At 39.5% G+C, this 24,175-nt stretch overlaps 1 protein-coding gene and 1 pseudogene across 11 annotated transcripts in view; both read left to right on the forward strand.

Annotated features, from left to right (window-relative positions):
• The window catches only part of LIPK (lipase family member K), a 46,528-nt gene that overhangs the window by 20,534 nt on the left and 1,819 nt on the right, over window positions 1–24,175 (forward strand). For 3 of the 11 annotated variants that reach the window (XM_011540075.2, NM_001080518.2, XM_011540073.4), the window contains 7 exons: window positions 13–130; window positions 4,201–4,399; window positions 5,396–5,505; window positions 5,633–5,769; window positions 10,853–10,999; window positions 13,214–13,285; window positions 16,468–16,539. In XM_011540075.2, the coding sequence (XP_011538377.1) occupies window positions 13–130; window positions 4,201–4,399; window positions 5,396–5,505; window positions 5,633–5,769; window positions 10,853–10,999; window positions 13,214–13,285; window positions 16,468–16,539 (855 nt within the window). The other 8 variants (NM_001378091.1, XM_017016546.3, XR_001747183.3 and 5 more) reach the window with 7 other exon arrangements.
• KRT8P38 (keratin 8 pseudogene 38) lies at window positions 789–2,330 on the forward strand (annotated as a pseudogene).

The raw sequence follows: 24,175 nt of genomic DNA on the forward strand, positions 1-24,175 counted from the left end.
TCCTCTTTTTAGAGCCAGATTATTTCTTACTGGGGTTATCCTTATGAAGAGTATGATGTTACAACAAAAGATGGTTATATCCTTGGAATTTATAGGATTCCACATGGAAGAGGATGCCCAGGGAGGACAGGTATTATTTATTTTGTTATGAAAGGAAAAATACTTAAAGCAGAGGTACTTAGATGTCCTGGGAGAAGTCAAGCAGTTTTTGTTCTGAAATTCTTAACAGTCCTTTCCATTAAAGGAGAAAAATTATCGCCCCCCATCTCTCTGTTTAATTTGTGTAACTTTGAAGTTTTAAGTCACTTTTACATACACTGTTTATCTGGTCACTCCTTTTCTTCATGACTTTGTCTTCCTACCAAGCAAACACAAAAACACATCGTGTTCTTACCCTAGTGATACCTCTGTCCCGTTTTGAAAATCAGAAATCTAGGGGTTATTCTTGATACCAACTCTCCCTCACCTTCTACATGCAACCTATCATCGCCATCTATCAATTTTGCCTTCTAAATTTCTCCCTAATCTGACAACTTTCAGCTTCAATAATCTTTCAAATCCAGGTTTGGATATAATGTCTTCAACTACTACAATGCCTCCTCACTGGTATTAAACTATTTGTAGTCAGTTCTGGACCCAAGTCTGTGTGATTTCATGGTTTAAAGTAAATATTACCCTATTAGCTCCCACCTAGCAACAGCATCTCAGCTTGTCAAATCACCATCTAGTTTAGCCTACCTACCTTCACTCCAGCCTCCACCATGTCCATCAGGGTGACCCAGAACTCCGCCTTCAGCAGCTGTTGGTACAGGAGCATACCCAGTGCTTGTATCAGAACCTCAAGCTTCTTCCAGGTAGGTAGCAGCTTTCTGGGTGGCCTGGGCACCAGCATGGGTCTGGGTGAGGTCTATGCTGGGGCTGGTGATATGGGAGGCATCACAATTTTCACTGTGACCCAGAGTCTGCTGAGCTCCCTAAAAGTGGAGGTGGATCCCAACATCCATGCTGTGAACACCCAGGAGAAGAAGCAGATCAAGACCCTGAACAAGTTTGCCTCCTTCATTGACAAAGTGTGGTTCCTGGAGCAGCAGAACAAGATGCTGGAGACCATGTGGAGCCTGCAGCAGCAGAAGACAGCTGGGAGAACGTGGACAACATGGAGAGCTGCATCAACAACTTTCTGCGGCAGCTGGACACATGGGACCAGAAGCTGAAGGTGGAGGTGGAGCTTGACAACATGCAGGGGCTGGTGGAGGACTTCAAGAGTAAGTACCAGGATGAGATCAACAAGCATATAGAGATGGAGAATGAATTTTCCTCATCAAGAAGGATGTGGTTAAAGCTTACATGAACAACGTAGAATAAGTAGTCTCGCCTAAAAGGGCTGCCCCAGGAGAAGAGAAGATCCGTGAGCTGCAGTCCCAGATCTCGGCCACATCTCTGGTCCTATCCTTGGACAACAGCCGAGTCCTGGACATGGATGGCATCATCTCGACGTCTCCGCCCAGTACCAGGAGATCGCCAGCCGCAGCTGGGCCAAGGCCGAGAGCATGCACCACCAGGTCGAGTATGAGGTGCTGCAGGCCTTGGCTGGGAAGGCTGAGAATGAGCTGTGTCGCAGGAAGAGGATCTTCCAGGTGAACCGAAACATCAGCCGGCTCCACCATGAGACTGAAGGCCTCAAAGGCCAGAGAACGCAGAGCAGCGTGGGGAGTCCGCCATTAAGGACTCAACGCTGAGCCTGCAGAGCTGGAGGCCGCCCTATAGCGGACCAAACAGGAGAGGGCGCCGTAGCTTCACCGGAACCTGGAGCTGATGAATGTCAAGCTGGCCTTGGGCATCGAGAGCGCCACCTACAGGAAGCTGCTGGAGGGCGAGGAGAGCCCGCTGGAGTCTGGGACGCAGAGCAGGTGTATGCATAGGAAGACAAGCAGTGGCTACCCAGGTGGGCTGGGCTCGGCCTCACAAGCTCTGCCCTCAGCTATGGCCTGGACTTCTTCCAGTCCAGCTTTGACTGTGGCGGGGACTCCGGCTCTTTCAGCCGCACCAGCTCCTGCAGGGCCATAGTTGTGAAGAAGATTGACCCCTGCAATGGGAAGCTGGTATCCGAGTCCTCTGATGTCCTGCCCAAGTGAATGTCCACGGCAGCACTTCTTAGCTTACCCTTCCTGTGGCTGTCCCACATCCTGCTGGGGAGGCAGCTGTGCAGGGGAGCATGGGCAACTGGAGACCCATCTGACGCTCAGCCCTAGTTCTCAGCCCACCCTACAGGGATAGTTTGCTGCCTAGGGTACACCTCTTGCCCTTGCCTCCAGCTGAAAAAACAAGTCTATTTTTTTTTTCTGAAACAGAGCCTCAGGTATCCTCAGGAATCTCTGCAAAAAAGACCCTATTAGTTCCTATCAGTTCTGTGCTTAAACTTCATTAAAGAGCCAATTCTAGCTCCCCGCAATGCAGGTGGCTATCTGTTGGGGGGGGGGGGCGGGGGAAGAGCAATTCATTTCCCAGAAACTATTTGCTCTTGCTTTCTTCTCTCTCTTCTTAGTTCATTTTATACTTTGACATGTCGAATAACAAAACTTCTCAATATCAGAAAGACTATTTATTTAAAGAAAAACTCTAGATTTCTAAAAAGAGAGGAAGATATAATGGTGTTGCTGGCTTTACAGAGCCAATTATTTCCCAAAATAACTCCATAATTACAAATAACTTTGTAAATACTCAAGAGAACTTTTAAGTCTCTCCAAACTTTTCTCTTGTCATTTCTATCACGTAGCTGCCAAAATTCATGAGACAAAAAGCTGTACAATGAGAAACTCTTTTTCTAATCTGAGATCCCTGTGATTTGTCTCAGACTCAGATCAAAGAGGCCTGATGGTACTTGACTATTTAATGGTACTTAACTTTGGCAGAGTTAGTAACACCTCTTCTTTCCCTCTATTCCAAATGGTGGAAAAATGGACATAGACTCTTAGTTCCTTGGTCCCGATGGCTGAAGGCTCTCTGAGAGTACAACTTACTCACTCTCAGGAAGCCACTCTAGTTCCAAAAGTGACCTGAGGTAGAGTCCTGAGATAACAACACAGCATCACAAACCACTTATAAAGCACAGGAAAAGTCTAGTCACTTCTTCCCTCTCTTCTCTCTTTTTCCACACTTTCTCACTTCTTTCTTTTTCCTTTCTCTTTTTTAGTTGAAATGTTCCTATTTTACATTGGGAATAGGATTTTTGTATCATATTAACAATTTTAAACTGTAAATTTCTACTTACAACCTTGTTTTTTGCTTTCTAACAATTCAAATGAAATGAAGCAGTGCCTATAAAACTTAGCATAGTGCTTGACATTCAATGAGCATTCAACAAATGGCATTTTAATTATTGTTTTTATTATTTTGAAAAAAATTTAAGTTTTTAATCAGATGAATCTTGAAAAATATAATGCTATTAATATAAGTAACAGTAATAGAGCTAATATATATTTACTGTGCCAGACAGCTTTTTTTTGTTTTGTTTTATTTTGTTTTGAGACGGAGTCTTGCTCTGTCGCCCAGGCTGGAGTGCAGTGTGGCGATCTCGGCTCACTGCAAGCTCCGCCTCCCGGGTTCACGCCATTTTCCTGCCTCAGCCTCCCGAGTAGCTGGGACTACAACGCCCGCCACCATGCCCGGCTAGTTTTTTTGTATTTTTTAGTAGAGATGGGGTTTCACTGTGTTAGCCAGGATGGCCTCGATCTCCTGACCTCGTGATCTGCCCGCCTCAGCTCCCAAAGTGCTGAGATTATAGGCGTGAGCCACCGCGCCTGGCAACCAGACAGCCTTTTACATGTTTTAGTTCTCATCGAATTCTTATAAATACCCTAGGAGATAGCATTTATTATTATTTCCCATTATACAGATAGGTTAACTGAGGCACAAAGGAGTTCATGCGTATCGAAGGGATTTTGAACTAGGGCAAACTAACTTCCACACTTACATAATACAATACATTGTATATAATCCCTTACAAATGAGAAAACAAGACAGAGAACTTAAATAACTTACCCAAGTAAGTAGCTCAGAAGGGACTAGATCCCAGGTTTGCCTGGCATCAAATTTTATCTCTTAACCTTTCTTTTATACTACAGAAATTCAGGAATGAGATTTTTCTTGTAGACACTGAGAAAGTTCAAATATGAAATTCTTGTTGCCTGTGTTTTGCAGCTCCAAAGCCTGCTGTGTATTTGCAGCATGGCTTAATTGCATCTGCCAGTAACTGGATTTGCAACCTGCCCAACAACAGTTTGGCTTTCCTTCTGGCAGATAGTGGTTATGACGTGTGGTTGGGGAACAGCCGAGGAAACACTTGGTCCAGAAAACACCTTAAATTGTCACCGAAATCACCGGAATACTGGGCCTTCAGGTAAAGAGAAACCTATTAATGAATAAAATGTGTACTTTCCTCATGCATATGTATGAACACCTAGTGATTTTTTTCCTGTTTTGTGTCCAAATGCACCCAATGGAATCCACAAGAAGGAAACAAACCTTTCTTTCTCTACCCAAACTTTCTTCACAGGCTCTAAAGAACTGCCATTATTATTGCATGGCTGTTTTAGAACTCCTGCCTCCGTCCTGGTGTCTGCGTGTGAGTGAGTGTGTGTGTGTATGTTCTGGGGGAAGTAAGAAGAAAGCCTGATTACAGAATAGCTAAGCAACAGTGCTGCCAGCAGCAGCGCCTGAGGGTGCTGTCTACTTCAGAAGCCACGCCTACCCGGTCACAGGAGCAAACTGATGCACTGGCATAGGAGCTAAGAACCATGCCTTGGAGGTCATGAAAATCCTGTGTTCCTTGGCCTCGTTGCCTGCCTTCTTTCTGGAAACCACTGGGATTTCCTAATTCTATGCCATAGTCCATTGCACCCTTGCAAATGACTAGAAAATTCCCTAGGTAAGTATTTCTTAAACTATACATAGGATCAGAAGTAACTGAGGTCATTGTTAAATATGCAGATTACTGGGTCTCTTCCCAGGAAATTCTGATTCAGTCAGTCTGGGCTGAGGTCTGCAAATCTGTTTGCTTTATTATTCTCTCCTTTAGATAAGCATTCCAGGTAATTGCTCTTTTCAGAGGAGCTTGGTAAATCTGTTATAGAATTAAGTGAATACGACTAGCCTTGCAAGAAAAGCATCAGTAGGCCTCGACAAATCAAATTTTTCTGATTTCAGTTTCTTAAAAATGTTGACTTGCAATCAAGGTGACACCCTTAAAAGTTGCATAGTTGCCTAATATCATATATCGACACTAGTCTTATATTTAACAAAATCAAAGTATTTATGTCTTCACTGAACGTGTTTAAATGTTCTAGGCCTAACAATGAGATGACTTTTCTAATTTGTTATTCCTTCTTTTTGATAGTTTGGATGAGATGGCTAAATATGACCTTCCAGCCACAATCAATTTTATCATAGAGAAAACTGGACAGAAGCGACTCTACTACGTGGGCCACTCACAAGGCACCACCATAGGTGTGTTTGGGGCAGATGTGATCAGAGAATGTCAGGGGCTCTTCTTCCATATGGCTACATTTACTACAACTTAAAATGAACAAATAATTATCTGAAAACTATGAACTACTGTCTTCTTCCATTTCAGCTTTTATAGCATTTTCTACAAACCCAGAACTGGCTAAAAAGATTAAGATATTTTTTGCACTGGCTCCAGTTGTCACAGTTAAATACACCCAAAGTCCTATGAAAAAACTAACAACCCTTTCCAGGCGAGTAGTTAAGGTATGTGACTTCCCAAGTTTTAATCTGAAATAACTAAAAGTAGCTCTATTTCCATTGATTTCAACAGAAGACCAATGACATTTTACAAACTTCTGAGAAAATAATAGGTATTCAAGATATCCATGTAAGTTCACTGATGATGTATGCAATCTTATTAGCAGAGTTCAGGGAACTCCCCCTGTTGCTAATCTGCCCTACTTTCTTCATCTATGTCTAGAAACGTGTCTGCTGCGCCATTCCTCAACCACAGATAGAGAGAACTTATTTGATTGATTGGTTTGTTGAATTTAGTAGATTGAATTTTTCTAGTGATCCCTAATTTTTTAGGGGCAGTGGTGGTTGAGTTCACAGCATGGAATCAGATGGTGTGTGTTTGAATGTTATTTCTATGATTTGCAAGCTGGGTAAATTTGGTCAAGACCTTAAGTTCTCTTCATCTGTAATGTGGGGATAATAATAGTTCTTACTCATAGGGCTACCCTGAGGACTAAGTAAATTAATACAGCATATCCTCTAAAACAATGTATTGCATATTGTAAACCTTTAATAAATGTTAACAATTGTTTTTGTTATCATTAGTTTTATAGAATGTACCCTCCTCCATCACTAAATGCCCAACCTTGTTTCATTTCCTGACACTTTACAGGCTGTCATTTTGACAATTCCCAAAACCCAGGCAAAACTCTAGGCCTCCTAATCTCCTCTAGTTGACAGCTAACTAATCTGATCATTTATCTAGTCCAGGTAAATTGCATTGCATGGGTTGGTGTGTTTTCTTCTTGTATTTTAACATGGGCTTCTCCCATGGTAATAACTCCCATGGTGGTGATTGCACGGTTCAGTGATTTCAATGAGAGCAGATGAAAGTGAAACAATTCTGACAGAAGCCTGAAGATTTACCGAAGATTCTCATTGTTGAGAGCTAAGCAAATTAGCCTATGGTGATTGAAGTTCATATCTATACATCCCAGAAAGACAGGTAGCAGAAAAACCACCTGAAAATAACAAAACATGCTTACATTGCCTGTTGGTACTTGGGCCTCTTATACCATTGAGATTTCACTCTGGCCTGCTCCTACTATTAAGTAAACAATGTCAGACTTTTTGCTTAATTATTTCAGTATTCCCACACAATTAAGAGATATTTTGGGATGGTGAGATCTTTCCATTCCTCTTCATTTGCACAGCTCTCTTCAAACTTCTGCATACCCTGACGTGTGTAGGACGTGGTGCAATTCAAGTTAATTCAGCCAAAAGATATCTAGGAGCTACTACTTCAAGGCCCTGGCATTAGGAAACAGCTATGTCTACAAGGAAACTTTCCAGCTTGTTGGTATGAGTAAAAACTAGGGTGTATGTGAGAGTAGAATGGGATTCAACTAAGGAGGTATTAGGGGGCAATGGAAGGAAGTGGTGTCATGTCTAGGAGTTTAGACTTTGTTCTGTTAATGAAGGGAGGCCATTGAAGAATATTAAATAGAAAAGTGGCTTGATCAAATCTATAACTTTAGAATGATTGCCCTTTCTAAATTATAACTCCAATAGAGGAACTATAGTACCAATAGAAGAACTGCCACATATGACCTACTAATTCCTAGTAGAAATTCCAGTATTATAATGACAGAGTAAAAACATTGCTAGGCAAACTCAGAGAAAAGAAAAATACTGCTAGCTGTTGGAATCACAAAATACTTTTTGGATAAGATGGCATTTTAGTTTGGGCTTAAGGATATGATTTCATTATAGAGTGTGGTATAGAAAGGCTTTCTGAAACAAGAGAGAAACATGAGCAACATTGAAGTGGTGAAGCTCAGGCCATGGAGAACCACACATAACTCACTTTACTGGAGATTTATATTAGTATTTGTGAAGGAGAGTATGAGAAATCATGTTGGAAATGTAGAGGCAGATGATAAAGGGATTTGAGCGCCAAATTAATGAATTTGGAATGTATTATATAAGTAATTGGGGAGCATGGAAATATTTGCACAGGGGAATGACACGCATAATGCCCCTTTTTAGAAAGATTCCCCTGGGAACCAAATGTAAGCAGATGAGGGTAAAGGACATCAAGAAGGGTGAAAGATTAGGAGAATCATTATGGAGTTATTGTTAACACATCAGTTGATAGATGTTGGGGATTGGACAAGAGTTGTGCACTGATGAGAAGAATGATTATGGGGTTATTGTTAACACATCAGCTGATAGATATTGGGGATTGGAACAAGAGTTGTGCAACAAAAAATAATCTGTAAGATATGACAATGAAATGATAGACAACGTTTAGGTATATTTTTGACTTTTTGAGGAACGGGCTTTCTTTCTCCTCTCCTCTCCCATCAGCCAGATGCTCGCAGGCATGCTTGGTGAAAGGCTTCCTTTTTTATGGGAGCTTCTGGACTGAGACAACCTTTTTTCTCTCTCTGATTAGCACTTCCTTTTCATTGATGCTGCCAGTTCTTTCAATTGCTCCATTTCTATTACATTCAACTCAGTTCATGAGAGTTGAACTGAATTGAGTATAAAGCATAAAGACTTAAGTCAGACAGAACTGGGTTCACATTCTGCCCCTGCCTCCTGCCTATTGTAACCTTGGACAAGTTATTTAACCATGCTAAGCCTCAATTTTCACATTGATAGAATGAGTAGAGTTCGTCAAGTTGAGAAATTCATTCATCCATTCCCCCTTCCTCACCTCCCATTTTGCCCCTGGACATTTATGCGTTTGTGTTCTTGTCATTCTACTTTCTTTCTGACCTATAGATTGCTTTGATCCTTTGCTTTTGACGTGTCTCTACAACATTAAAGATTGTTAGTACTGTCTCCATTTCTTAAAAGAAGAACTTGAGGCTCAGAGAACCTAAGCAGCCTGTCCCGAGTCACCCAGCTAATGGACGGCAGAGCGAGAATTTGAACCCAGATCTGACCAGGCAACCCATGGTCAACAGTCTTTTTTATAGGTGGAAAAAAAAGTCTTTTTCCACTTTTTCAATGCCAACCTGAAGAAGTTAGTGAACAAGGGTGACCAGCTCAGTGGGTTGTTGAGGACTGAAACCAGCCCATGTTCTGCTTTGGCAAGCCATATGCCCTGGCATGGGGCCATGTTGCCAGAAAGAGGGGTGCCTTTTCTAATTCTCACACATACCAAAAGAGCTACTAGAAGGAGCCTGGCTCCCTGCTGTTATGTGACAAATATGCCTCCTCCAGAGCCAACTTGGAATTATATCTACAAGTTGGCATGTTTGCTACTCTGTATATGGGTGCTATACTGCTGGCTGGCCTGCATTAATATCCTCTCTTTTAGCTTAGGGTAAAGGAGAAATTATTCACCTTTGAGTAAATGCATAGTAATTTTGCTGAGTCACAGGATATTGAGGTAGAATGGAGTCAGAGAATGTCCTGCTAATTTACTCCGTATTTGGGAAAGCTAACTCCAGGTTTCAGAACAGAGATTATCTTGTATAGTCAGATATAATCTTTATTTAATGGAATATTTGATATTCCATGGAATATTAATGGAATAAAAGAAGTACCAAGATTTCATACTCCTCTTCCTGTCCAAGAGAGGAAGAGAGGGATGGAGCCAGGGAAAAAGGAAGGGAAGGAGGGAGAGGGAGAGGGAGAGAAGACAGAAGGAAGAGGAGGAGGAAGAAGAGGAGGAAGAAGAAAAAGGGAAGGGAAAGGAAGGACAACAATATGTTAAACTAGTTCAAACCATACTTCTCAATTCTTTAGGTCTGGAAAGTAATAATAAGCCTTGTACATATTATCTGATTGATTCCAGACTCTTCATTTTATCTCAATCACTAGGACACTTAGATAATACCCTAGATAATTAAACTTGCCAAATTGTAATTCTTCCAGTGTAAATGTCCCCATAATAATTTAATAATAGTAGCAGCATACACTCATAAAATGAGCTTCTCTTTTAAAATTATGTTGACATTTACTTCATGTTTTCAAGTGTGACAATTTAAATAGATTGTCACACAAATAAATAATTAAAGTAAAAGGCAGGATCTGACTTTAACCGGTAAACAAATTTATTTTTTATTTATCAATAACTTGCTTTATTTATCAATCCATGCTTGGCAAAACAAATCCATGTGAAAGAAAATAGCCACTTCATAAAATAATCAACAATTAAAATACGGTGTTAAGAAACAGGTGACATCTACCATAATGGATTCTTGGTTCTCTGTTCTGAAACCTGGAGTTGGCTTTTCCAAATACGGAGTAAAGATCTTAAAGTGAATTAGATCTTAAATGAATAAATGCTAGTTATTACTGTTCTTTAGTTGTAATTTCTGGTTAATAAAGAATTCTAGAAGAAATGTGTGTTTATTTTTACTGTAAATAGGTGTTTCCAAAGTTTTAAGAACTAAAAAATGTCTTTTTACCTTTATATCTAGTTTATTATGCCAAGATTATAAAACTAGTAGCTGTGAAGCAAAGAAACTCACTTGCAACACTGCCTGAAATTACACTAGTAAAGATTCATTTATGTGGGTTAAGCTTTTGTCATAGAATTCATTGAAGGATTCTGGAAGGAATGGCTCAAGTCTGTATTAGTCACTAATTATGATAGTAATAATAATTACATTAATTTATACTTTAATTAAATAATACTTTGCATGTGCGCTAGATGCTAGGAACTGCACTAATTGTCTTTTAAACATGACCTACTAACTTCACAACAGCCCTACCCAGTAGAAAATTTTTCCATTTTATAGATGAGAAAATTCATAATAATAGAAATTTAAAACTCTCCTAAGGTATAGAACGTGTTTGAATCCAGAATGAAACACATGTATGCCTCACTCCAAAGTCTTACTAATTTCCTGTGGGAACTAGTTTCTCAAGGGGCATTCTAAAAACCACCCCAATTAAAGATTTTTGGGAAAAGCCATTAAGAGGTGCATTGGAAGGATTACAAAGCTAATAACAAGCCTCATGATTTCACTAAGGACCAACACTGAGCAGATGTCACCTAATACTGTGCAGTCCTTCTTTGAACTATCTCTTTCTCCACTTTTGATATCCACGCCTGTAAGATTTGATGGTGTTTTAAATTATCTTGTAGGTGTTGTTTGGTGACAAAATGTTCCACCCTCATACATTGTTTGACCAATTCATTGCCACCAAAGTGTGCAATCGAAAGCTATTCCGTCGTATTTGCAGCAACTTCCTATTTACTCTGAGTGGATTTGATCCGCAAAACTTAAATATGGTAGGTGTAAGTAATTGGGTCTGGGAAAACATTTGTTTTGTTGCACAGAAGTGATGAAAGTTATCCTGGATTGTATGGCAACTGCAATTCAAGGTTTCCTTTTTGCATTTGGAATGTAATTAGTACATTTATGGCTTCCAATGAGGGTTGAGAGTCCACTTGCTTTCATAGGAGGATTTGAGAAGAAAGCTTTTCTGCCAACAATTCTCATCTCTTCTTACCCGAAACGTCCTTCGCTTAGATAAAGGCTATGGTTTTGATATTTATCTTGCTGTGCCTACGCCTTATGTCAGACCCACTGAAGTAGAATCTCAGGGGGTGAGTCCAGACATTTGCATTTTTATTTGTTTACCAATTTTCCACTTTCACAGTTGATTTGGAAAGTTATTTTGTGAACAACTTACTTCCTTAACCCAAAAGGATAAAAGGAGGCATGGTTCTTCAACAACAGCTACAAATTTATTGTTCAAGGGGTACCGAGAGGGATCAGTGTCAGGGTTCTTGTCAAGTAATTTCTAATTTAACTGAGATCCTTTCCATGATGACCCAAGGAGTTGGGGAAGGGAGGAGGGAAAGAGAGGAGTTGTGTTTGAAACCAGAAGTAGGATAAGGCTGAAGTTGGTCTCCACCTCTCTCACAAACTTCTGCCCAGAGCCTACTCTCCCAGTCAGTAGAAAGCACTGATTAAAATTTTTCTTGCTTTCAGGCAAGATTTATAAAAGGCTTTTTATGCAAAACATGTCTTAGCCATTGCCTTTCTATGTTCCTCTCTCACTTTCTCAGTGTACAATGGAAACTATGCTTCCTATCACTTAGATGCAAGGATATATGTAGGTGAGAGCATATCATGCAGGCAGAGCTGAGTAAAAAGACCTTGAAGCAAATAAAAAAGAGTGTATTTTAAAAGCACCCTCTCAGCATAGCCTAAGAGTTTGCTAAAGAAAGACATCACAAAATAACACCCTTGAGTATTCATTGGCCCTTGTTGTCCATATGGACACCTTTTGTCAGATCACCTTTTGTCTTTCTGCCAAAAAGCAAAACTTACAGAATATTACAGCACCTTCAAGGACATTTGTTTCAAAGAACCATAGCCAGGGGTACATAAGTAATATTGGTGGAACTTTGAAAAAATACACATGTCCAGAACTCAACCTTTGAGATTTTGATTTTTATTCAGTACATTTGGATAGCTTATAAGTAGGTTAAAATATTTTTAAAGCCCTAAGATGTTTCTGATGCTTACTTTGGTGGAAAATAACTCTTTTAATTTAAAAAATAGTGCAATTGAAAATATGAGAGAATCAAGAGTTTTTGTGTGTGTTTTGTTTTTGTTTTTGTTCTTGTGTGTGTTTGTGGTTGTTTATCCATAAGATATCTAAATATACCGACTGAATTAATTCTGTTACACAAAATTTCAGAGTCCTGTAGAATACTCATCACATTTTAAAATTCAGAAAACGAACGTCAACATACAGATCTATTCTTAGTGTCTTAGGGCCAACAGCTCTCTTTGAATGTCCTTTGGGACTTAACACGGGGTGAAGGAGAAGATCACTGGGGTTTTTATTCTTTAATCCCCTATACCCTTGAACCTATGGGAGTTGAGTCTGGAAAAAGATAGATTTCCTTTTGTCTTTGCCCCGTGGGATGCCCTCTGTAGGCTTTCTGAAGACACTGCTGAGGACAGGACAGAGCTGGTGGAGGAAAAATTCTTCAAAGATGGGCTTTTTTGGTTAATATGTCTTCAGATTATATGGTACATGTTTTTTCCTTAAAGAAAGGGAAAAGACGCCAGGTGCAGTGGCTCACACCTGTAATCCCAGCACTTTGGGAAGCTGAGGCAGGCGGATCACGAGGTCAGGAGAGCGAGACCATCCTGGCTGACACAGTGAAACCCTGTCTCTACTAAAAGTACAAACACAAAATTAGCCAGGCGTGGTGGTGCGCACCTGTAGTCCTAGCTACTCGGGAGGCTAAGGCAGGAGAATGGAACCCAGGAGGTGGAGCCTGCAGTGAGCTGAGATTGCACCACTGCACTCCAGCCTGGGTGACAGAGCGAGACTCCAACTCAAAAATAAAAATAAAAATAAAAATAAAAAAAAGAAAGAAAGGGAAAAGAGGAAAAGAAGAAACTTTTTAAATTTCTCTCAAATGTTTACTTGTGGTATGATGATATGATTAGCCTCTAGATGAGAAGTAATCTCTTTGCAGAGTCGCTTGGATGTTTATTTGTCACACAATCCTGCGGGAACATCTGTTCAGAATATGCTGCACTGGGCTCAGGTAAGTGCTTCTTATTCCTGCTTGATGCACACATATCTCTGCAAGACCCTCAAGAAGTGCTCTCAGAGAGCTCACTGCAGGGTTCTGCTGGCACCTGCCACTGCCACATTGATGTTTTTGGAATCAGCATCAACTCTTCATTTTTATTTACTTCATTCCCATTTCTTCTCCTTGTCCTCAGTGTCTGGGTTTTGAGCATGGTTCTCAGATATTCTGACTGGGTTCTGATCCTTAGATGATTCCAAACTACATTTTAAGGGAAGACTTTTATTTCCTCTTTCAGAAAGTCATCAGCTCTAATAGAACTTTATATAAAATGATGCATCTTATTCCAGAAAGAGCTGTTCATCCTCCAATCAATATATGGGGCATTTCAGAATGTGGAAATGATGCTTTATTCAGAGAAGATTGAATGCTAGGGAAGAATTAAAATGGATTTATGGCTTATGTTTTTACCTTCAGCTAAAGTTTTATTTGTTTTATTTTATTACTCAATATACAGAAAGCTCAGAGATAAGTCTAATCCAGTTGGTGTGGCTTTCTGAGCCTTGTGTGTGTGTGTGTCTTTGTGTGTGCATGCGCACACACGTGCATGCACATTCATTTGTTTATTATGTAATATTTGCCTATATTCTTGGCTGGTGGCTCAGTCACAACGCCTTTTGAAAAGTGAACAAAATATACATAATTCTATGACGGGGAAAGTGGTGGTGTCTTCTTAAAGGTTTAATATATCTGAGACCCCCCCCCAACCAGGAATTTGCATTTTAATATATATCCTACTAAATTTGCTCCCTGTTTTAGAGAATCGCTACTATAGATAGCCTGAAATACTTGGTGAGGATTTCCAAAATACTTGGAAGAGTTTGATCCCAGGAGATAAGGCTTCAAGTTCCTCTACGAAGAAAGATGTTCAGGATATAGGGCTTCCTACTGACGAGGAGACAGATAGGTCCTCTTATGAGCATGGCCTTCCAGGTACTACACATTTAACTTCACAGTTATTGAGCACTTAATATATGCTCTTCTTGCTGCTCATACATATGATTTTATTCAGTCTCACTGAATTATTATAACAATTTTTTAGTAAAGGCATTGATATCCCCCCACTCTACAAATGTCATAGCATATTCTTTTATTTATTTATTTTTTAAGACAGGGTCTCAAAAAAAAGCGTGCAGTGGTACAATCACGTTACCCAGGCTGAAGTACAGTGGTAGAATCATGGCTCACTGTAGCCTTGACATCCTGGGTTTAAGCAATCCTCCCATCTCAGCTTCCTGAGTAGCTGGCACCACAGGCATGCACCACCATGCCCAGATAACGTTTGTTTCTTTTTACAAAGATGAGGTCTTGTTTTGTTGCCTAGGCTGGTCTTGGACTGCTGGACTCAAGCAATCCTCCCACCTCAGCCTACCAGAGTGCTGGGATTACAGGCGTGAGCACTGCGCATGGCTGCCTGTTCCTTATACATTTTACAATTGACTTCTCTTAAGAAAAACTTTTCCCCTTTGACAGAGAGTCCTCTTCAGGATAGAAATAAGTGGGGATGGTGGGGGGCATGGTGAATATTTGGTTATAAGTTACATAGGCAGCTAAGGCAAGAGTGATGATCATGATGATGGGAGTAATACTAGTGAAAAAAAGCTGTTTGTTGGGTATTATTAGGTGCTACATGCTTTATAGGTGTTAACATAATCTTCACAATCCTAAGAAAGAATGTTACTATCATTCTCATTTCACAAATATCTTGCCTTGAATCACAGATTCAGTAGTCTATTAAGCCTGGATACAATCAAGGTATATTAGTGTCTTTCACACTACTATAAAGAGCTACCTGAGACTGGATAATTTATGAAGACAAGTGTTTTAACAGACTCACAGCTCCACAGGCTGTACAGGAAGCATGGCTAGGAGGCCTCAAGAAACTTACAATCAATCACCGTGGAAAGTGAAGGGGAAGCAAGCACGTCTTACCACGGTGGAGCAGGAGAGAGAGAGCACAAAGTGGGAAGTGCCACACACTTTCAAACAACCAGATCTTGTGAGAACTCACTCACTATCAGGAGAACAGCAAAGGGGAAGTCCGCCCCCATGATTCAGTCTCCTCCCACCAGGCCCCTCACCTGACAAGTGTGGTTACAATTAGAGATGAGATTTGGGTGGGGACACAGAGCCAAACCAAATCATCAGATTTGATCCTAGAGCCCAAGTTCCTAAGTAGTACGTCCTATTGCCTCTCATTTCTAAAAGCTTGCAGAATTTCAACAGCAGCAGACTGCTGCCTCTCTGAATATAAATCATGATGAGAATAATTTTAAACTAAAAATCAGGACTAAATTGGTAAGTGGGAAAAATATCTGAGATTCAAGCTAAGAAAGAAAAACACAGAATAGTCTGAGAATAATTTAATGAAGTGCTTGACATAAATGTCAAAATTATCTGCCTCATCAATCCTATATGGGTGGCAAATAACAGAAAAATGAAGTGCTGCATATATGCATGACCTTATATTCTAATATTTGAAGTTTCAATACCAAAATGCAAAAGTAGTCATGCACAGTGTCTCAGTCAGCCCATGGCTACATTATGCACATCACAGCAGGTGGCTTGACTCCACATATGGGAGGCAGAGAGCAGCCATGTACCTTACACAGAACTGCGGAAGCTCAGTGGGTGAATATTTCTTTTAATAGTAAAAAAAAAAAGTTTAAGGATAGGGAATATAATCATAACAGTTTAGACCACATCATGAGGATAAGGTACAAAGTTGTATAATAACAATAGCAGTAATTTTTAAATGTAAGAAATGTATAGCTAATGCCTTTTTAAAAAAATTATTAAAATTCCTGAAGCAAAGATATTCAAGAATCATTCAATTCCGCATCTTTAAAAAATATTTCTGTGTGTAACATGGTAACATTTAAAGGCATTGGATTTAAATGAAAAATCTGAGGATTTTCACTGGAAAGATACAGGAATGAGTAAAAGATTGTACCAATTCTGTGAATTACGATAAGATTTATCATTTTTATTACTTATTTTCTTAATCTTTATTGAAATTTAGCTTATGTTTCTAAAGACTGGGGCATAATGTTAATCTTCTTTGTATATTTCTTCTGTACTGTCTTTAAATGTACACTATTTTCTTATATTATTTTAACGTGCTTATTTTATTTTAGGCTGTTAATTCTGGTCAGCTCCAAGCTTTTGATTGGGGAAACTCTGATCAGAACATGATGCACTTCCATCAGGTACAAAAATAATCCTCATAATCAGTTCCATGCTGCAAATGAACTAACAAAAATAGTGTCTACTCATGAAGCACCTGCCACTTCCATTTAACCACACTGGATATTGCTTATTGCTGTTCTCACAGGCTGCTTATTGGGTTCTTGCCATATGCCATATCATTATTTCTAATTCTTACAAGGACCTTGCAAGGTAAATATTATTATCCCTATTTTTTTCAGAGGTTCAGAGAGGGTAGGTAAATTACCAGAGTTATTCGCTAGTAAACAACCAGAGACAGGGGCTCAAGATGGTCAACTGGATACAGCCAGGAAGAGTTTCTCCCATTAAGAGACAAGACCATCAAGAAGATTGGAACACTCTGAGCAGATCTTCAGAAGAAAGGCATTGAGAGTGAATGGAGGTAGGATGTGGAGCCTGGGCTAGAGGGAGGATTCTGGGAAGCCTGAACGGGGTTGCTGAGCACCAGGACTCACTTCAGGCCCTGAGTAGCTCCTGGGGAAGAGGTGAGTTAAATAGGAGTGCAATGGCCCATTCTTACTATGGACCTACCTGTAGGACACCCCACAACCCCCATAGACATTTGAGCTAGTAGGCAGAGCTGTTTGGGGAGTTGGCAGGGACAGGACTCTTGCCTGTGCAAAGCCCAAAGGGTTTGGTGCAGGAACGGTTGCAGTGAAGTATGGCCAGGGACATCCATTCCCTAAGGCTCGCCAAGCACCTCTAGGTAGCGCTGGCCTTTGTTGACTGTTGAACCTGAACAGAACAGGGCTATCTTACCCACGGGACAGGGCCAGTGTAATCTGAGCACATCCCTGTCTGCTGGCCTTTCTCAGGGTTCCTGCCTGGCTGCACCTGCTTGCAGCACAGCCTCACATGCCCAACCAGAGTGCCTCCCTGTGGTCACTGCCATACCTCCTTCACTGGCAGATTCTGCCTAGGCATAGGACAGCTTTTGCAGATGGGTCCCTACCAGTGTGAACATACTTGCAGCCTCCCCTGACTGCTTTGCAAGCATGCGTGTGTGCAAACCTTGCCACCACCACCACGATGAAGTGCTTTTGCCCCACCTCCCATCAGAGTGTTGTTGCCAGTATATGAGGAACATCTCAGCCTCTCCAGTGCAGCAGTGGCCAGAGAACAAAGCTTTGCACATGGTCCCACCTACCAAGGTTATAGCACCCAGCCCAGGAGTGCTGAGCTGAGCCCTGGTACCCTGAAGTCATCCAGAAATGAAGCCAGTCAACTAAACACAACTTATATCACAGTCATATTCTCAAGGGCTTCAAAGAATATAAAAGCAAAAAGCCTCATCCAAAGGACAGCAACTTCAAAGATTAAAGGAATATCAGCCAAAACAGTTGAGAAGGAATCAGTGCAAGAACTCTGGACATTTGAAAAGGCAAATGACCTCTAAATGACCACACTAACTCTCCAGCAATTGTTCTTAACCAGATTTAAATGACTGAAATGACAGATACACAGTTCAGAATCTGGACGGCAACAGAGATCATTGAAATTCAGGAGAAAGTTGAAACTCAGTCCAAGGAATCTAAGGAATCCAGTAAAATAATTTAAGAGCTGAAAGATGAAATAGCCATTTTAAGAAATAACCAAATTGATCTGATAGAGCTGGGAAACTCACTATAAGAATTTCATAATATAACCAGAAGTATTAATAGCAGAATAGACCAAGCTTAGGAAAAAATCTCAGAGATTGAAGACTGGTTATTTCAGTGAACCCAGTCAGACAAAAATAAAGAAAAAAGAATTTAAAAAATGAACAAAATCTGCAGAAAATATAGGATTATGTAAAGACACCAAACCTACAGCTCTCTGGCATTCCTGAAAGAGAGGAAGAGAGAGGAAGTAACTTGGAAAACATATTTGATGATATTGTCTATGAAAATTTCCCCAACCTCACTAGAGCGGTCAACATTTAAATTTGGGAAATTCAGAGAACCCCTGCAAGATAGTATATAAGACAACCATCCCCAAGACACATAGTCATCAGATTCTCCAAGGTCTATATGAAAGAAAAAATATTAAAGGCAGCTAGAGAGAAGGGGCAGTTCACCAACAAAGGGAACCTCATCAGGCTAACTGTGGACCTTTCAGCAGAAACCCTACAAGCCAGAAGAGATTACGGGCTTGTATTCAACATCCTTAAAGAAAAGAAATTCTAACCAAGAATTTCACATACAGACAAACTAAGCTTTATAAGTGAAGAAAATATAAAATATTTTTCAGACAAAATTGCTAAGGGAATTTATTACCACCAGACCTGCCTTCCAAGAGGTCCTTAATGGAATGCTAAACATGGAAATAAAGACTGGTACCAGATACTACAAAAGCACACTTAAATACATAGACCGTTGACACTAGAAAGCAGCTACATAATCAAGCCTACATAAGAACCAGCTAACAACACAATGACAGGATCAAATCTACACATATTGATATTAACCTTGAATGCAAACAGGCTAAATGCCTCACTTAAAATGCAAAGAGTTGCAAGTTGCATAAAGAAGCAAGACCTAACTGTATGCTGCCTACCTGAGACCTATCTTGCATGCAGTGACACTCCTGGGCTCAAAGAAAAGGGAGGGAGAAATATCTATCAAACAAATGGAAAAGAAAAAAGACCAGGGGTTGCTATTCTTGCTTCAGACAAAACAGAATTTAAATAAACAATTATCAAAAGGAACAGAGAAGGACATTAAATAAAGATAAAGGGTTGAATTTAACAAGAATACAACTATCCTAAATATATATGCACCCAACACAGGAGCACCCAGATTCATAAAACAAGTCCTTAGAGACCTACAAAGAGACTTAGATAACCACACAACAATAGTGGGAGACTTCAACACCCCACTGACAGTACTAGACAGATCTTTGATGCAGAAAGCTAACAAAGATATTTGGGACCTAAACTTGACACCTAACCAAATAGACTGAGCAGACATCTAGAGAACACTCGACCCAATAACAGCAGAATACATATTCTTCTCATGTGCACATGGCATATACTCTAAAATCGACCACACACTCAACCATAAAGCAATTCTCAACAAATTAAAAAAAAACTGAAATTATACTATGTACACTCATGAATCACAGTACAATAAAAGTAGAAATCAATACCAAGATGATCCATCAAAACCATGCAATTAGACAACCTTCTCCTGAATGACTTTTGGGTAAATAATGAAACACAGGCAGAAATCAAGAAATTCTTTGAAACTAATGAAAACAAAGATACAATATACCAGAATCTCTGGGACACAGCTAAAGGAGTGTTAAGAGGAAAGCTTATAGTGCTAAACATCCACATCAAAAAGTTAGAAAGATCTCAAATTAAGAACCTAACATCACACCTAGAGAAACTAGAAAAACAAGAGCAAACCAACTCCAGAGCTAGCAGAAGAAAAAATAACCAAAATTACAGCTTAACTGAATGAAACTGAGATGCAAAGAAACATACAAAAGATCAACAAAATCACAAGTTGCTTCCTTGACAGAATAAATAAAATTGATAGACTGCTAGCTAGACTAATAAATAATAAAGAGAGAAGATTCAAATAAATACAGTCAGAAATGACAATGGGGACATTACCACCACCCCACAGATACATAATAATCCCTCAGAGACTATCATTATCACCTCTACACACACAAACTAGAAAATCTAGAAGAAATGCATAAATTCCGGGAAGCATAACACCTCCAAAGATTAAATCAGGAAGCAATTGAAATCCTAAACAGATCAATAACAAGTTCCAAAACTGAATCAGTACTAAAACACTACCAACCAGAAAAAGCCCTGGACCAGAATGAATTACAGTCCAATTTTACCATACATGTAAGAAGAGCTGGTGCCAATCTTATTGAAATAATTCCAAAAAATCGAGGAGGAGGGACTCTTCTCTAACTCATTTTATGAAGCCAGCATCCATCATTCTGATGCCAAAATCTGGCAGAAACACAATGAATAAAGAAAACTTCAGGCCAATATCCCTGATAAACATATATGCAAAAATTCTCAGTGAAATACTAGTGAACCTAATACAGCAACACATCAAAAAGCTAGTCCACAACAATCAAGTAGGCTTTATTCCTGGGTTGCAAAGTTGGTCCAAAATATGCAAATCAATATGTTTCAGGCATCACATAAACAGAACTAAAAACAAAAATCACAAGATTATCTCAATAGACACAGAAAAGACTCTTAAGAAAATTCCACATCCCTTCATGTTAAAAACCCTCAACAAACTAAGCATCAAAGAAACTTACCTCAAAATAATAAAAGCCATCTCAACAAACATATGAAAAAAAGCTCAACATCACTGATCATCAGAGAAATGAAAATCAAAACCACAATGAGATACCATCTCATGCCAGAGAGAATGGTGATTATTAAAAAGTCAGGAAACAATAGATGCTGGCGAGGCTGTGGAGAAATAGGAACACTTTTACACTGTTGATGGGAATGTGAATTAATTCAACCATTGTGGAAGATAGCATGGCTATTCCTCAAGGATCTAGAATCAAAAATACCATTTGACCCAGCAATCCCATTACTGGGTATATACCCAAAGGAATATAAACCATTCTACTATAAAGATACATGCACATGTATGTTTACTGCAGCACTGTTTACAATAACAAAGACATGGAACCAACGGAAATGCCCATCAATAATAGACTGGATAAAGAATATGTGGTACATATGCACCATGGAATACTATGCAGTCATAGTACCATGCAGCCAATGAGATAATGTACTTTGCAGGGACACGGATGCAGCTGGAAGCCATCATCCTCAGCAAACTAACACAGGAACAGAATATCAAATACCACATGTTCTTACTCATAAGTGGGAGTTGAACAATGAGAACACATGGACACAGAGAGGGGAACAACACACAGCCGGGCCTGTGTGTGAGGGTTGGATGGCGAGGGAAGGGAACTTAGAGGATGAGTCAATAGGAGCATCAAACTACCATGGCATATGTACACCTATGTAACAAACTTGCACATTGTGCACATGTATCCTGTCTGAGGCGGGCAGATCACTTGAGGTCAGGGGTATGAGACTAGCCTGGCCAACATGGTGAAACCTCATCTCTATTAAAAATACAAAAATTAGCTGGGTGTGGTGGCAGGCACCTGTAATTCCAGCTACTTGGGAGGCTAAGGCACCAGAATAGCTTAAACCCAGGAGGCAGAGGTTGCAGTGGGCTGAGATTGTGCCATGGCACTCCAGCCTAAGTGACAGAGCAAGACTCCGTCTCAAAAAAAAAAAAAAAAGAAAACAATAATAATATTAAATGCCATTTCTGACAAACCCACAGCCAACATAATACTGAATAGGCAAAAGCTTGAAGCATTCCCCTTGAGAACTGAAACAAGACAAGAATGTCCACTGTCACCACTCCTATTGAGCATAGTACTGGAAGTCCTAGCCAGAGCAATCACACAAGAGAAAGAAATAAATGGCATTCGAATAGGAAGAGAGGAAGTCAAACTACTTCTTTTCATGGATGATGTGATTCTATATCTAAAAAACCCCATAGTCTCATTCTAAAGGCTCCTTACACTGATAAATAACTTCAGTAATGTTTTAGGATACAAAATCAATGTACCAAAATCAGTAACAATGTCCAAGCTGACAGCCAAGTCAAGAACATAATCCCAATCATAATAGCCACAAAAAGAATAAAATGTGAATACAGCTAATCAGGGAAATGAAAGATCTCTACAATGAGAACTTTAAAACACTGCTCAAAGAAATCAGAGATGATACAAATGGAAAAACATTCCATGTTCATGGATAGGAAGAATCAATATCATTAAAATGGCCATACTGTCCAAATCAATTTACAGATTCAATGCTACTCCTATCAAAATACAAATGACATCTAACACAGAATTAGAAAAACTATTTTAAAATTCATATGAAACCCAAAAGAAGCCTGAATAGTCAAGGCAATCTTAAGCAAAAAGAGCAAAGCTGGAGGCATTACTTGACTTCAAACTATACTACAAGGCTACAGTAACCAAAACAGCATGGTATTGGTACAAAAACAGACACATAGACCAATGGAATGGGTTAGAGAACCCAGAAATAAAGTTGAACACCTGCAATCATTTGATCTTCGACAAAGTTGACAATAACAAGCAATGGGGAAAGGATGGTCTATTCAATAATTGGTGCTGAGATAACTGGCTAGCCATATGCAGAAGATTGAAACTGGACCCCTTCTTTTTCCCATATACAAAAATTAACTCAAGATGGATTAAAGACTTAAATGTATAACCTACAACTATAAAAACCCTAAAAGAAAACCTAGGAAATACCGTTCTGGACATAGGACCTGGCAAAAATTTCATGATAAAGATGCAAAAATTTCATGATAAAGATGCAAAAATTTCATGATAAAGATGCCAAAAGTAATTGCAACAAAAAACAATTGACAAGTGGAACCTAATTAAACTAAAGAGCTTTTGAATAGCAAAAGAAACTATCAATAGAGGAAGCAGACAACCTAAGAATAAGAGAAAACATTTTCAAATTATGCATTTGACAAAGATCTAATATCCAAAGTCTGTAAGAAACTTAAGCAAACTAACAAGCAAAAAAACCAAACACCCCCATTAAAAAGTTAGCAAAGTACATGAACAAACACTTCTCAAAAGAAGACATACATGCATCTAATAAGCATATGAAAAATGGTCAATATCAATAATCATTAGAGAAATGAAAATCAAAACCATGATGAGATAGCATCTCACACCAGTCAGAATGGCTATTATTTAAAAGTCAAAAAATAACAGATGCTGGTGAGGTTGTGGAGAAAGAATGGTCATACACCACTGGTGGGAATGTAAATTAATTCAGCCATTGTGGAAAGCAATGTGACAATTTCTCAAAGAACTTAAAACAGAACTATGATTTGACTTAGGAATCCCATTACTAGGTATATACTCAAAGGAATATAAATCGTTCTATCAAAAAGACACATGTACCCGTATGTTCATTGTGCACCTATTCACAATAGCAAAGACATGGAATCTAGATGCCCATAAGAGGTGAACTGAATAAAGAAAATGTGGTACATATACACCATGGAATACTATGCAGCTATTGAAAAGAATGAAATAATGTCCTTTGCAGCAATGTGGATGCAGGTGGAGGCCATTATCCTAAGTAAATTAACACAGGCACAGAAAACCAAATATCACATGCTCTCACTTATAAGTGGGGGCTAAACATTGAGTTTACATGGACACAAAGAGGGGAACAATAGACACTGGGGCCTACTTGAGGGTGGAGGCTGGGAGGAGAGTGAGGATTGAAAAACTACCTATTGGGTACTGTGCTCATTACCTGGATGACAAAATCATTTGTAAGCCAAACCTCCATGATATGCAATTTACTTATGTGGCAAGCCTGCACATGTACCCCCTGAATCTAAAATAAAAGTTGGAAGGGGAAAAAAATCAACCAGAATACGACCCAGGTTTCCTGGATTTAAAGTCTAGTCTTCTCCACTACACTTATTCCTTCTCAAAAAAACAAAAACAAAAAACAAACAAACAAACAAAAAACATGTTTGTTTTTAAAGTATATTC

Source organism: Homo sapiens, chromosome 10 (assembly GCF_000001405.40).
Source record: "Homo sapiens chromosome 10, GRCh38.p14 Primary Assembly".
NCBI lineage: Eukaryota > Metazoa > Chordata > Mammalia > Primates > Hominidae > Homo > Homo sapiens.